Source organism: Homo sapiens, chromosome 13 (genome assembly GCF_000001405.40).
Source record: "Homo sapiens chromosome 13, GRCh38.p14 Primary Assembly".
Lineage (NCBI taxonomy): Eukaryota > Metazoa > Chordata > Mammalia > Primates > Hominidae > Homo > Homo sapiens.
In genome coordinates, this window is record NC_000013.11 from 27,564,367 (window position 1) to 27,580,650 (window position 16,284).

The window sequence follows — 16,284 nt, forward strand, 5'->3', positions numbered from 1 at the left end:
ATTTTTTTATCAATCAACAGCTGTAATTATTTTCCTTCAGAACTGAAAATGCCATTATTGATGACTTCATTAAACTGAAAATACTTATTCTTAATAATGTTCTAAGTTATATTACTTTTATTAATGATATTGAGGTAATTTATAATAGCAGTATTTTTTTTTCTTCAAAACTGCTCAAAGAGGCTGCATATGAAACTCTAAGAGTAGCAAAAAGCTCTAACAGCATATGGTTCTCCTTTTCAAAGAGGCTATTTAATAACATTTGTATATGTAAATAAATATATATAAATGTGGGAAAACCACCAAAGCCACACACTGCTTATGTATATGGTCTGCAAAAATGAAAATGCAAGCTAGCTCTCTGGTCTGCAAATCAACCATCTTACTGCCTCTTCGAGATTTTCAAATTGGCTCACTGTGTTATATTTATTTAGCTTATACAAAGTTGGAGGTAACCAGATAGTAAAAAATACCAATAGGCCTCTTTCCAAGTGTTTACTCTTGAATAACCATAAATAGTCCATATGTGGGAAAGGGGGGTGGCTTTACTTGGCTCCAACACACCAGTTAAAAGCCAACCAGAAGTCAGGGCCTATAATAGGAGAGACCCTTTGTGAATTCATTAATCAGATTATGTGCTCAGACTTTTCTTATCAATTTGAATCATTAAACTAGATGTAAGATTGCCATTATTGGAGTTATTAGTATACAGGTTTCCATAAACAGTAATAATGCAGTGGAATTTCTACAATGTAGACTTTATAACTGAATTAATTCCCAAAAATATGGTTGATAATTTCAGATAATTACAATCTTTTGAGGTCTAAAGATTCAGTAGTGTTAATGAACCATTCTCTAAAATAGAAACAAGCCCACTGATGAAATGTATTAGTAAAAAAACTTAAACAAATCTGTTATATTCAAAGAAATATAAATAAAAACATTTGTAACAATACTGGGCTAGTAGCAAAAAATAAGTGTACACTTACATTTCAGCTAAAAAGCCCAGAAGTGGGAGAGTCAAAGAACACTCAGTGGGCTGCAGAAAAGGACTATCTGCCCTTCCTGGTCCTGACCACCAAAGTGTCAAGATGTCTGGGAGGATGAACCTGGGAAATGAGCTGTAAGAGTCGCTCTCTGCAAAATCAAGTCAGGAGCTAGGATGTAAATAATACAAGGGGTCCTACAAGTTGTGCCAGCCTGTGCAGCTAAAGTACTAATATCATAAAATGCAGCTAGGATAACTAAATAGCTAGCTATGACAGGATCAGAAATCTGATTTTATATGAGCTGGATTAGTTATGTTCCTGTATTCGTCTATTACATCTAAGTATTTGGTAAAAAAAACACTGTTTGAAAGCTCAGTCTGTCTCAGCCATGCCTAGGGGTAATGAAGGAAAGGTTTTAGGCTTGGTGTTAATTATTTTCAGGAATAATACACCATGAAAAGCAGCATACAAGCGGGAGTGGAAATCAAACCCAAGAATCCCTAGTAGGGTCAATCCTGGCTGCCTTTGTAGACTCCCATAGCCCCAAGTCTAGAGATTTCTTTTCAACAACTAAAAATCCTAACCAAGTTTTTCTTTTAATAAAGGAGATGGCTATTCCCAACAGCATCTTATATTCAAATTCACTCTTTTATTGACTCAGCAAATATTTTCTGAGCACTTACTACAAGCTATGAGAAATCTGTATCATAATCTGTACCATTAGGGTGGTTGCAATTACCTTAGATCATGCCTACATACGTAAAATGTTCAAACAATTCTCTGTAACTCATCACGTGCCAAGTGATGAAGAGAAAAGTGATGAATGCCAATAATAACTAATGTAGGAGGAATCAGTATGGGGGAGAATGGCTGAACAAAAGCTTTAAGGATGAAGGTGAACAAACTGGCTCATGAGATGAGGACAGGCTGCAATGTGGGAATAAGGTGTTTGCAGGGAAGGAAGAAGACTGCTATGTCTGGCTCTTCCACTAGATTGTATATTCCACGAGGACAGGTCAGTATTTTGCTCTGAAATGTACCACCAGCAACTAGTATAGTGCCTAGAATGTTGTGAGAAATGAATGAGCTGGTGTGCCTGAAATGAAGAATTGAGATTAACAAGACAGGTTGTAGAAGAGACCGTGGAGGACCCTGACTATTAGATTAATCAGTCTGGACTTGACCTCCTAGTTGAACCTTTGCAAGGCAAGCAGGGTTACTGATGTATTAACCTGGCAGTGATTGTTTCAGATTTAAGGGAGGAGAGTTGGGAGGCAGAAGTATATGATGGGGTATTCTACTAAATTAGATATGAAGAAGAGAAGTCCTAGACTCAAGAAGTGGCAGGAAAATGGAAGTAGGGGGTAGATATCAACAGGTCATGGTGAAGGACCGAACCACAAATCCAAGGAGAGAGAGGAGTCCCTGCGCTTGGGTTGACAGGAGACATTTTTTCTTGTTCATGAATATTTCCTCTCTCTCCTAGAAGTTATCCGTTTTTAAGCTTCAATTATTATCACCTTTGTATGATGAAAATGGTCCAGGCCGGTATTAACATCAACTCCGGGATTGTAGAACTCTTACCATCCTCCTCCCCTCATCTCAACTTGCCCTCTAATAAAATATCTTGTCCCATGCTAGTTATTTCTGGAGAATACCTGTTTCTTCTTAAAGATCATCTTCTGAAAGGGAAAACAGTAAGGGGAGCGAAGGGGATTATTGAAAATGCAGAGTTAGAGTGTTTGCTGAGGAGAGTGCATTAGGGAGTTGATAGGAGATGACTGCAAGATTTCTGAACTCTATCTTATAATCTGTGGTATAAATTATGAGTGCTGCATGGTTCCTTCTTTTCTAGATTTTAGTAGTCTGTATAGAAAAGGATAAATCCAACAATGAAGGTAATGAATGGGAAAACTGGGTATAAAATAATACCAATGAGATGATAATTTCAACATGGATGAAGGTGACCCTTGAACAGTCATTCAAGAAGTCCAAGCAGGAAGAGGCTAGTCAGCCCAAGGAAGAGTCTAGCTAGCTCAGCAAGCCTGAGATCATGTGCCAAGCCACATCGCATGCAGGAATGAAAATTAAGATAGGAAGAAAAAATACTCTGTGTATATGGGAAAATACCACAAATTACACATAAATTCTGATGTTTTGCATATAGAAACAGTAAAACTAATCTATATATAATTTAGGTTCCAAAACAGCACAATTTTCTAAGGTTTAAGTGTTAAGAATGGAACAAAAAGGCACAAGTTAACAGAATAATTAAAACTGATACCTGAAGAATCTGGTCTCCAGCAAGAAGTCTCCCGTCTCTGGCAATGACCCCATCCCGATAGACCTCCTGGATGACAATGTTAATCAAAGGTGTTTCGTTGCCACCCACAATGCTGATTCCTAACTGAATGTAAGGATTGGACCGATGAATTTCAATCGTGGTGATTTCTCCTTCTGGTAAACTAAGTGGCTGTTGTGTGGCTGCCAAGTTAAAAATGAGACAGACAAAAACAGATGTTAAAAAAATAAACAAACCCAACAATTTATATTCTGATTATCTTCAGGTAAGTATGTCACATTAATACATGATTAACAGCTAAGCAGTATCACTGGATAAGAAACAAAATGACAAAATATCTGTTGTTAAGATTATCTAAAAATTTTCTCTACTAAAACTGATCAGTAAATAATAAATAGCTACTATGTATCAGATCACTAGGGACGACACAGTGATCTGATTAAGAAATATGAAAAGAAAGTCATTCTGTCCTCATTGATGAGAGAAAATTTGGACCACGAAACAACTGTACATAATGAGAGGCAGTACAAAGGAAACACTAGCTCTGTGGCATAGAAACAGCACAGGTGTTGAGAGAGTAGCCACATCAAGCTCGTAAGAAGAGGTGGGTCTTGAACGGAGACGTAGGAAATGAAGAAGGCGCATAGTTGCGGCAAGGAAAATTCAAATTTGTAGTAGAGCTTGGAAAAAGAAAATCATTTTTAAAAGGAAATATCAAGGGCCCACTACCATGATATGCCCAAGATCCATGACTACGGGCCTTCTGTTAACTTCCTAGTGGGTAACAGAGCAGTGGCTGGTACCAGAGGTGTATAACGGTGAGATGCATGGTCTTGGAGTCAAATACAAACCCAGTCATTTACTGGTTGTATAAACTTGACCAATTAATCTCTCAAGCCTCAGTTTTCTTGTTTAAAAAAAAAACAAAAACCCAAACTTAAAATGTTACAAGCATCTAAATAGCTAATACATATAAAATGTTTAGCACAGTGCCTGACACAGAATAGCATTTAATTGTGTTGTTCTTGATGTTGACTTCTTATGACAAGAAGCAAACAAGTTTCTGAACACAGACAGTAATAACCACGCGAATGACTAGTGAGTGCACAGACTGCAACAGAAAAGGGATGGGTTAGGACCATCTGCCTCGGGGGTAAGATTTGTGATTTGTTTCTAAAATGCAAACTGTTAGAATTGTACAATGAAAAGGGTGAATGATGTATATAAATTATATCTCAATGAAGTTTCTTTTATTTCTGTTTATTTTTATTTTTTAAATTTTTCTTTAAAGATGAAAAAAGTACATGTTGGGCAAGTAGTGGGAAGAAAGGAAATAGAGATGAAATACACAAGGAGTTGCACCACACATACTGTCAGCTCCAGCGCTCTCCTCAAAGGCAGGGTTGTCAAGGCCAGGCTCCTCACTCCATGTGGAAAGAGACGCTGATGTCAAGTGCCGCTCCACAGGCACTGCGCCTGTCCCCAAACAGTCTGCTTCTGGAGATAAGGTACCTGCAGGATCTAGTAGAGTGGGCCCATTTTCATTCTCAATCTCTGCTTGAGTTCTACTAGTTTTCCTTCTCTCCAGGGCAACTCTCCGATGAGAAGCTCCAGGACATCTAGAAAAAGAATATCAGATGGTTTCCAGATGATTTTGAAAACAAACAAACAAATAAAATAGGGAGGGGGACTAATAGCTTCTACACAAACAGAACCAGAAGCTAGAAGTACCTATAGGCAGCACATAGTTCTGATCCTAATCTCCACTCACACTAAGTTCTTACTGCTCCATAGAGCAGATAATCAAGAACAGAAGGATTAGCATGAACAATGGTTTGGTATGTATCCAAAGAATACGTCAGTAAAAAATTGTATGCAGGTATATACTTGTCACCAGAAAACACCCTCATAGTCATCTCTGTACTGCAATAATTATTCTGAAATTCTGATCACATAACCCATTTACAGGTTAAATGGCTTAACCACAGCAGTGAAATCAGCAGTCTTCTCCCACAAGTGGTTGCGTCCTGACTTAGACCTTGATTGTGCCACCATGCTTCTACACTCTTCACAGACACACGACACGCTCATTAATTAGTGGGTAGTGAGACATCTGAAGCTTTACAACTTACTGCAAGGCAAAGGAAAGACCCATATAATTTATTTTATGATAGACATGGAAAGAAAAATATGCCTCCTAGTTTGTGAAATTAGAATTTCAATAGAATTATTGATATGCTATGTAAACTGAAGAATATATTCCAAGTACTCGGAAACTTACATAAACACCCAGAAATCACAACCGTTAACCTGTTTGTTTTTACTTATTTAAGCAAATAAAAGGAGCCGATGGATGCTTGTTTTTAAACTTATAATCAAGGAAACATTTAAATAAAGGCTCTATATAACAAATATTAAAAATGATGTCAAGGGGCCAGTGCCTTTCCATTGGACACCTTGATTGGACAGTGACTAATAACCCCTAGTTTGAAGGATGGGAGGAGGACAAAAAGATTAGTGAAGGAAAGTTGGACACATATACCTGAGGCCTACCACGACTCTACGGATGACACATGCTTTGGTTGTAATTAGCTACAGTAACGCTTGGTAGGATGGGTGATCACAGACCTTATGCCTAGGGTTGCAGACCTTCATTCAACAATATTTTTAAAACTCCAAAATTTCTAACACAACACAGAATTAAATACAATTAAAACTAAAAGCTATCGCTTAACTATAAAAGTAATATTTTCCCTCCTGAACTAAAGATTTCTTTTAAATCCTGGATTTCAAGTTCTTGAAAGGGATTCACTATGAAATATCTTTATTCACCTTTCTCTCATTTCTTGTTTGCTCTACACCTTGTTAAGAAGGGGGACAAATGGTTTTCTCCTCTGTATTGTTGTACAGCACTCCAGGGAATGCTCTCGCAAGGGCCTGACAAGTATTTTTGAAAATTAGATCATGAAAAAAATTACTTTTGTCAAGTAAGCAGGTTTAATTCGAAATATATTTTTAAAATATTTTATTCAAAAAAAAGTTGAGGCTAAAACTAGACCATAAAAATAATATGACTGAAAAGACAGGTAAAGATTTAATTTACAAAATCACATCATACACAAATATCTACACAAGAATAGCTAGTGTTCAATGGAAAAAATGAACCAGGAACTGGAACTTAAGAAGAAATACAGACAGATTATGTACACCTGGGAATCAGTCTAGCTAACAACTCTACACCTTCACAAACGAAATATGTAAGGCCTATCTTATAGTTATTAAACACACAAAAATAACTTTTAAAAGGAAAAGCTAAAGTTGTTAGAGAGGTAAAGTAACAAGTATACTTACAGTCCCAGTGAGACAGCAAACTGCTAACAGGAACTAAAGAAAAATATTAAAAATGACATCATGTAAAAATACAGAAAAATTATTTCACTCAGCATTAGAAGAGGAAGGCCATAGATTGAACCTTTGGGAAAACCCATATTTAAATGAGATGGACCAGCCTGAGTAGATGAAATTGAACAACTAGACAGAAGGAGATTATGAGACAAAGAGTGCAAACTTAACTAGGGAGACAAGCAGTCAACAACAAAAAGTGACCAATAGTGCAAATGGCCACAGAAAGGGCAAATAAAATAAGGACCAAAAAGTGTTGGTAGACTTGGCAATTAGAAGGTAACCTCAGAAAGAACACTTTCACTGATGAGGGCAAAAGCCCAGATTATACTACAAACATTTCTTTTAACATAATATATGCATTCTAGAAAAACTGCAACAGGGCTTAAAGGAAAAAAAGAGTTGGGGTAGACACTCAAAACCGTGTATCGGGGAATGGGAAATGGCTGTTAATGGGTATTGGGTTTCTTTTAGGTATGCTGAAAATGTTCTAAAAATTGGATTGTGATGATGGTCACGTAATTCTGTGAATACACTAAATAGCACTGAATTGCACACTTTAAATAAAGTGAATTTATTTAAAGTGGGCAATTTACAATGAATTTATAAAATAGGTGAATTTGATGATATGTGAATCTCAATAAAACTATATTTTAAAAAAAGTATTAGGGAATGAGTAGATCAGAGCAGACTTGGGCAGATAAAAGCTCATGAATACAGACAGCTCAGAGCCATCATCCCTCAAGCTGCAAATACTTGGAACTGAAAGAGAAAGGAAAAACTCAACATTTGTGGAGTGCCTAATTTGTGCCAATTACTTACGTAACAACCTTTATATACATTATTTCATTAAATCCTCACAATTACTCTGTTATCCCCATTTAAAAATGGGAAACTTGAGACTTAACCAACTAAGCCAACATCACACAGATATTAAATTGCAGAGCCATAATCCAAACAAACTCAGATCTAATTTCAAAGGCTTCTAGCTTCTGTTCTTTCCAGTGTATCATACTAAATTCATTCCTATGGTATTCTTTTTCTAGGCCTTGGGAAAATATAAATTGAATTTCTTCTAAAAATTTGTACCTAGAAACACAATCACAGAACGTTGGGGCTAGAAGGGTATTAGCGATCATTAAAAAACAGAAATCACAAAAATAAAAACCTATCCATCTTTGGAAATGGAACATTTAAGAACACAAACTGAAATTGCACTGGGGGAGGTGACTTGGTTTATTCAGGCAGGTGACTCAGTGTAGCAGGAGACTAGTACAGAGGATATCAAAATTAAACAAAAACAATAGAACAGAACAGCATGTGACATCTAATTAGATTGAGGTAGGCACATGCTGAGACCATACAGTGGAGCTCTGAGATGGTGGGCTGCTGAGGCAGTGCAATCTGCCATGGGCTGAGGGCTGCACCTCCTGAGGGAGGGATCTGTACATGTAGGTGTGTTTTTTAATTTTCTTAAATAAAACCAAAATGCTCTTGCAGCAGCCAAGACCCAAATAGGGATTTTTCCTTTCCTGCTGAAGGTTGTTCTTCTATTCCCACTATTCTGGCTCTCCTCCTAAGGGAAAAATTATATATGGACTAATTTGATTTATGCTACAGTGACATCATTCCCTGATAACAACTGCATATGAGCTAGTTCACACTAGGAAACACATGGTGCAACAACACACTATATTATTGTCAGTAATATTAGTATTAATAGTGGGGGTGGTGGTAGTGCAGTAGAAACAAAATAAAACAATGCATACTAACCACTGCACAATGCCAGGTATTTAATGACACTGAAAGAATGTGAACACCTTAGAATCAAGAAAAATGATAAAAATAGCTAGGGAATAAACAAAAATTAATTCAAGTCATGTCAGTGAAAATGGTGAATTAAGAATATCTGAAAAGTCTCTCCTCCATAAAAGCAGTAAGAACACTGGAAGAAATTGTCAGAACCAGCCATTTCTGAAGTGTGGAAATTAGCCAAAGAATTATAGCAGTAGGGAGAACATTTGTTCAAGAAAAATGGCTGACTCTCAGTAAGAAGAGAGAGCTCTGTGGCATTTGAGTTTACCCTATTTCCATCCTCACCTCCCCAGAATATTGGAAAAGCAACAGCCCACATCACAGTGGAAATCAGGAGGCTGGCAGACACTGGAAGAGCAGACTGGAGAACCTTCAAAGCCCTATTCCCAGAGATCTGTTATTAACTGACCTGTCTATGGTTCCCCTCTTGTGTGCTTGTCTTTTTTCTTCTTTTTTTTCCCCCTATACTTGTTTCCTGTATGACTGTGTGCCTGTCTTTACTTGGCTTGACTCAGAGCTCACCCAGGGCAAACTTCCTTTTCACTGGGGGCATTTGTTAAGCATTGGTTAAAAAAAAAAAAAAAATCAGAGGTCATTGCTGAAGATTGTGGCTGCCTGAAGACAAATACAAGGCTAACCAGAATGTTTACAAGGAAGAGCCAGGGAATGACACGTCCACAGAGGTTCAGCTATGTTCAGGGCTGTGTGTGTAGGCTAAGGTGGAGCTGTCAGTGGCGTGAGTGTTGAGGGTGTGGCATGCCCCACCATGCACACAGAACCCCCATGGAAGACGGGGAGATTTTTTTAATCTCAGGCATTTAAAGAATTCTCTGTCCAATCATTAGCTGTCCAGTACACAAAATGAGCAGAGACTTTACAGAATTAGTTCATAAGAGTCACATAGCAAACAAACAAACAACAACAATAACAAGTCCTCAGGAAGGAGAAGAATCTAGTTTTCTGAGTTGCCACATTATATTATTTAAAATGTCCACTGTTCAATACAAAATTAAGAAACATGCAAAGAAACAAGTACAGCCCATTCACAGGAAAAAAAAAAAAAAAAGCAGCCAACAGAAACTGTCCCTAAGGAAGCCCAGGCATTAGCTTTATCAGACAATAACTTACATCAGCTATTTTAGATATGTTCAAAGAAGTAAAGGAAACCTATCTAAAGAACTAAAGAAAAATATGAGAATGATGTCTTATCAAAAAGAAAATATCAATAAAGAAACATTAAGTCATAATAAAGAACCAAACAGAAATTCTGGGGTTAAAAAGTTTAATGAAAAAGAATGCATGGCCGGGTGCTTTAATCCCAGCACTTTGGGACGCCAAGGCGGGTGGATCACTTGGGGTCAGGAGTTCAAGACCAGCCTGAACAATATGGTGAAACCCCGTCTCTACTAAAAATACAAAATTAGCCAGGTTTGGTGGCGCATGCCTGTAATCTCAGCTACTTGGGAGGCAGAAGTGGCAGTGAGCTGAAATTGCGCCATTGCACTCCAGCCTGGGGAACAAGAGCAAAACTCTGTCTCCAAAAAAACAAAACAGAAAAAGAATTCACTAGTTCAACAGCAGAATTGAATCAGAAGAAAGAACTGGCAAACTTGCAGATAGGTTTATTGAGATCATCCAGTCTGAGGAACAGGGAAGAAAAAAAAAAAAAGAACACAGCCTCATGGTCTTGTGGGACACCATTAAGAGAATAAACATATACATAATGAGAGTTCCAAAAGGAGAGAGAGTGAAAGGAGTAGAAAGAATATTTGAAGAAATAATGGCCAAAAATCTTCCCAAATTTGATGAAAAACATTTATCTACACATCCAAGAAGCTTAATAAACTCCAAGTAGGAAAACCACAAGATATACACACTTAAGACACCTCATAATAAAACTGGTGAAAGCCAAAGATAAGGAATCTTGAAAACAGTAAGAGAGGAACAGCTCATCACAAGGAAAGGATCCTCAATAGTATCTGCTGATTTCTCTTCAGAAACCATGGAGACTAGAAGGCAGTGGGATGACATACTCAAAGTTCTGAGGGAAGGAGAGACAGAGAAGGGGAGAAAACTCTCAACCAGGAAGTCTATATCCAGCCGACTTCAAAAATAAAAGAGAAATTGAGACATTCCTAGGTAAAAACAAAATGTTTGTTGGTAGCATGCTTAACCTGCAAGAAACACTAAAAGAAGTCCATCAGGCTGATGTGAAAGGACACTAAACAGTAACTCAAGTTCATGTGAAAAATGAAGAGCATCAGTACAGTACTGAATTATTTGGTTTGTAATTCTTTTACTCCTATCTGATTTAAAAGAAAAACATATAAAGCAATAATTCTGTGTTGATGGGCACATAATGTGTGAAGATACAACTTGTATAATAATAATAGCACACAGGAGGGGAGAGAGAATGAAAGTTTTTGTATACTACTTGTGATGGTTAATTTTATGTGTCAACTGAGTGGGCCATGGGGTATCCAGATTAAACATTGTTTCTGAGTGTGTCTGTGAGGCTGTTTCTAGCATGTGAATCAGTGGACTCCATAAAGTATAAAGTAGATTGCCCTCCCCAATGTGGTTGCATCATTCAATCCTTTGAGTGCCTGAAGAAAACAGAAGGTGGAGGAAGAAGAAATTCATTCCTTATTTTCCTGCCTTACTGCTTGAGTTGTGACATCTCATCTCCTGCCCTCAGACTGGGATCACTGGCTCTCCTAGTTCTCAGACCTTCTGACTGAGAAGGTCTGAATTATGCTACTGACTTCCCTGGGTTGCCAGCGTGCAGAGAGCAGAACGTGTAATTTTTCAGACTCCTTAATCATGTCAGCCAACTCCTCATATATTGGTTCTATTTCCTTACAGATCCCTGACTAATTCATTAGTGAAAATGAAGCTGGTATTCATTTAAAATAGACTGCTATAAACTAGGATGTTAATTGTAAGCCCCAGGGTAACCACTAAGAAAATAATTTTAATTAAGAGAAATGACACGGGAATTAAAATAGCATATTAAAAATATTTAACACAAATGGAAGAAATGGAGGAAAAAAGAAATAAGACATATAGAAACAAACAGCAAAATGGCAAATGTAAAGCCTACCTTATCAGTAATTACATTAAATTACATGAATGAAACATCCCAATAAAAAGTCAGTGACTGGCAGAATGGGCTACAAGAAACATAATCCAACTGTCTACAACAGACACACTTCAGATTCAAAGACATAAATAAAGCAAAAGACAGAAAAACATAACAAGATATGACAATTATAAACAGAAATTGTACCAAACAATGGCCCCAAAATACGTAAGTAAAAAATGACAAAGAGAGAAATAGACAAATCAACAATAAAGCTTTTGATACTCGACTTTCAATACTAACAGAACAACTAGACATGGAACCAGAAAATAGACCCTTTAACACTATAGACCAATTAGACCCAATAGACATATGGAGCACTCCATCCATTAACAGCAGAATTTACATTATTCCCAAGTACACACAGGACATTTTCCAAGACAGGCCATGTGCTAGGCCATTTTAAAAAAGGCCTCAAGGCTGGGCATGGTGGCTCACGCCTGTAATCCTAGCTCTTCGGGAGACCTAGGTGGAGGATCACCTGAGCTCAGGAGTTTGAGACAAGCCTGGTGCAATATGGCAAGACCCCGTCTCTACTAAAAGCACAAAAAAAAAAAAAATTAGTTGGGCATGGTGGAGTGCGCCTGTAGTCCCAGCTACTCGGATGCTGAGGCACAAGAGTCACTTGAACCCAGCAGGTGGAGGCTGCAGTGAGCCAAGATTGCACTGCTTCACTCTAGCCTGGGTGACAGAGCGAGATGCTATCTCCAGAAAAAAAAAAAGAAAAGAAAGGCCTCAATAAAATTTAAAGGATTGAACAATACACATTATGATTTCTCATTGCAATTAATTCCAAATGGATCAAAAACTGAATTATAAGAGAGAAAACTAGAAAACTCTTAGAAGAAAACGTACATGTAAATTTTTGTGACCTTGAATTGGGCAATGTTTTCTTAGATATGACACCAAAAGCATAAGCAAACAACAATGAACTTCATAAAAATTAGATATTTGTTCTTTAAAGGATGTAGGAAAGTGAAAAGACAACTGACAGAATGGGAGAAAATATATGCAAATCATATATCTGGTAAGGGTCTAGTATCCAGAATACATAGAAAATTCTTACAACTTAGCAAAAAGACAAATAATCCAATATAAAAATGAACTAATGATGTTGAGCATGTCATGTGCTTACTGGCCACTTGAGTATCTTTGGAGAACTATCTATTCAAATCCTTTGCCCATTTAAAATTGGATTTATCTTTTCATTTCTAAGAGTTCTTTATATATTCTGGATACTAGAATACACATGATTTGCAAATACATATATCTGCTTTTTCACACCATACATGAAAAAACAATACTGATAAGAATGTGCTAAACACAAACTTCCCTCCAAGTTAAAGTGTGAATTTAAAAGTGCAATCATGCCTCAGCCTATCCTGATCCCTTTTTTTTCTATTTAGTTTTTCCTGGACCATCATCTAAAGCAGGGTTGTCCAATCTTTTGGCTTCCCTGGGCCACACGGGAAGAAGAATAATTGTCTTGGTCCACACATAAAATACACTAACATCAATGATAGCTGATAAGCTTAAAAAAAAAATAATCCCAAAAGCCTTCCTGGGCTGCATGTGGCACAGGCTGAACAAACTTGAACTTAAGGTTTCATAACCATCTCATGAACAAGAAAAGTTCTCAGCAAGGAAAGAGGCTTCTTTAAAGGTTTTCTATTGTAAACTTTTTATAATGGCATTAAACTGTAATTTTTAAGAGGAAAAGTAATTCTGAACCTTGCCATAAACTAGGGCACAAACACACAATTTAAAAACAACAACAACAACTAGCACTTACAATTACCAAAGGCTTAAATGTTAAATCGTTAAGGGTGGGTTGGAGATGAGTGGTAGAGCGTAGGAGGAATGCTATATAGCTGATGTTGCTTGGCAGAATTTCAAAGAAACAATCAAAATGTTACATATTTAGTACAACATGTAGAATATTTTTCAAAGGCTTTATTTCTCTGTTCAAAGATAGAGACTGTCCATGTCTCTTAAAATTCTTCATTTCACTAATACATAATCAGTTAAAAATAGCAGTTTTATTTAAACATGTTCATCTTTCATAAATATTTTATCTGTAGGAGAAAAATGTTTGCTCTTCTCAAATCAAAACACATTTGTTAAGGGCAGGATTTCATTCAAATAGGAAGGTGATCTTAAATGTGAAATTATCAAATTTATGCAAACTACTGCTAATGCTCTATTTCTACCAATAATTAAGAGATTCCTGTAAACCCTAAAAGCTCAAGAGCAAAGGCACATGACAGCCATGCAACTTTTATACAATGACTCTTTGTTGCTGATGCTAAAATCTTATGAATTTCAATGAAACTTACAGACTTACCAATTTCTAACAAACAAGTGAGATTTGTATACCGAGAAGCCGCAAACAGTCGTAGTAATCATATTCTGCGCCGCATAACATCATTCTTCTTGCTAGTTTATGTTGGTTTTAGAACATGGCTGCAAATTTTTTTGACTTCCCATCACAAGGTGAAACCTATGTCCCCTTTTCCTTGGATATGGGTGGGTTTATGACTGCTTCCAACAGAGAAGGGATGCCAGGCAACTTCAAGGCTAGATCATATGAGGCCATGCAGCCTACTAGACACTGAACCACTTATGTAAGAACTTTAAATACCCTGAGGCTGTCATGCTGGGAAGGCTACCTGTAGCCTCTCCAGCTGACAAGTCCCACGCACCTAGTCATTCCCATCAAGGTGTCAGAAATGTGAATGAAGAAACCATCTTGGAAGTAGACTCTCCAGTTACAACTGTTGCAGTCCCTGGCTTTCAGCTCCTTCCCAGCTGTGGCACACATAAAGATAGCAGAGACAAGCCATCCCTGTTTCATCCTGTCTGCATCCTGACTCACAGAATCAACAAATGCTTGTTGTTTTATGTCAGTGTGTCTGGGGTGGTTAGTTTCTCAGCAATGAATAACTGAAACACAGATCAACAATTTAATTGGACTAACATGAGATGACTGTCAACTTTGGGCAAATAAACTGAAAGACTATAAAGACATGGTTCTGTTTCTAAAGGAATCTACAACCCGGCATTAGATTCTAACTTGCAGAGACTACCTAACACCTAGAAAAGTATCTGGCACATAGCAGATAATCAATATTTGCTGAATAAACAAATGAACTATATTATTTAGGGTTGAATGTTGTATAATATACATTTCTACCTGAATTTCAATGTTCTTATTTAAGAGAACAGAGAAAGGTCAGGCTGTTCATCACTATCTGTTCAAATGGCATATAAAAATCATATTACATTTTATAATTTTTTTACATTTATATACTCAGTAATCACTCTTAGCTGTCTGTATCAGGCAAATCACCACCTTTTCCAATCATCCATCTTTTCACTGTATCTTTCATGTTACAGGCCTAAGATACTTTAGAAATGATAAAATTGGTTACTTCAATACTAATAAGCACAGCTGGAAAATGAAACCTTCAACTGGATAAGCCTTTACCAACATGTAAATGAAAAGGCAGTTTGCAATTACCAAGGTTTTTTACATTCTCATTATAAATGGTTTGATAAGAAACACTAGTAATAGTTCAACTGCAAATTAAATTCTTGAATGCATGTTAAAGGAATATTCCTGAAAATCTGTGAAACTGTTATCTTTCAGCTCTCAAAATCATAAATAACTGAACTGACATTTCATTCAGTTCCTCTAACATCTCATAACTGATGTTTAGAAAAGAAGCCTATACACTGAAAAGAACAGTTCTACTGAAAGAAGCAGCCTGAAATATTCTTCAGCCATAACTAGTCCTGACTCAGACTAGTATATTCAAAAGACCAGTGTCAGTTTCCAGGAGGCCTCTGCCATCATGTTCAGATTCTATGCTTGCTGGTTACAGAAGATATAAAAAAATGCAATGCTACATTATTACACGCATTTTCAAAAGTCTGTCTATCCTACTCTATCTTACCTCCTAGTTCTAGACAACACAGTTTAGAGTTAAGCATTCTATAAATCTAAATGTTTCCAACATTTTAATAACATCTTTGTTTTTTTCATTGTTTCTCATGTCTTAACTCTGATGTTTAGAAATAAATATCAACAATATATTGATACAAAATGAATGTGTATTTCATGTGCACATGAATGAAACTTTTGCTACATAGCAGCAGAGAACATGACTTGACCTACGATAGAGTCAACATGGTTTATTAGAATAGTAAACAAGAACAGTAAAGCTTGAGTCTAACTACAGCATTAACTAAATTTTTGTGACTCAGTCTCCTTATTCATAAAATGAGGGGGATTAGATAATCTCCTTCAAGTCTATGATTTTATGTGTGAGTATAATAGCAAGCCATTCTATATCAGACTTACACTCTTACATCTAAGTCCAGTATGATGTAGTATGCATTGTTTTTCACAGCAATCGAGATTACTGCAGATTTATACTGTAAAACTGGCTTAACTTGAAATTAGAAACCAGTATTTATTTCTGCCATTTTATGTGATTCTACACAAATGACGTATACTGTAACTCTTCCTAAGTTAAAGATCAAGTCTTTTAGCAAAATCAAATTATAAAACTCATCAGCTAAATAAATTACTTAACCTTTTAAAAAGCTTTTATGAGAACAGAAATCCCCAC

The 16,284-nt window shown here is 36.7% G+C and overlaps 1 protein-coding gene across 9 annotated transcripts in view; it reads right to left on the minus strand.

Moving 5' to 3' along the window:
- The window catches only part of LNX2 (ligand of numb-protein X 2), a 75,195-nt gene that overhangs the window by 18,454 nt on the left and 40,457 nt on the right, over window positions 1-16,284 (minus strand). For all 9 annotated transcript variants that reach the window (XM_017020434.2, XM_011534995.3, NM_153371.4 and 6 more), the window contains 2 exons: window positions 4,663-4,910; window positions 3,274-3,473 (listed from right to left, as the gene is read on the minus strand). In XM_017020434.2, the coding sequence (XP_016875923.1) occupies window positions 3,274-3,473; window positions 4,663-4,910 (448 nt within the window). The remainder of the gene's footprint in view (window positions 1-3,273; window positions 3,474-4,662; window positions 4,911-16,284) is intronic.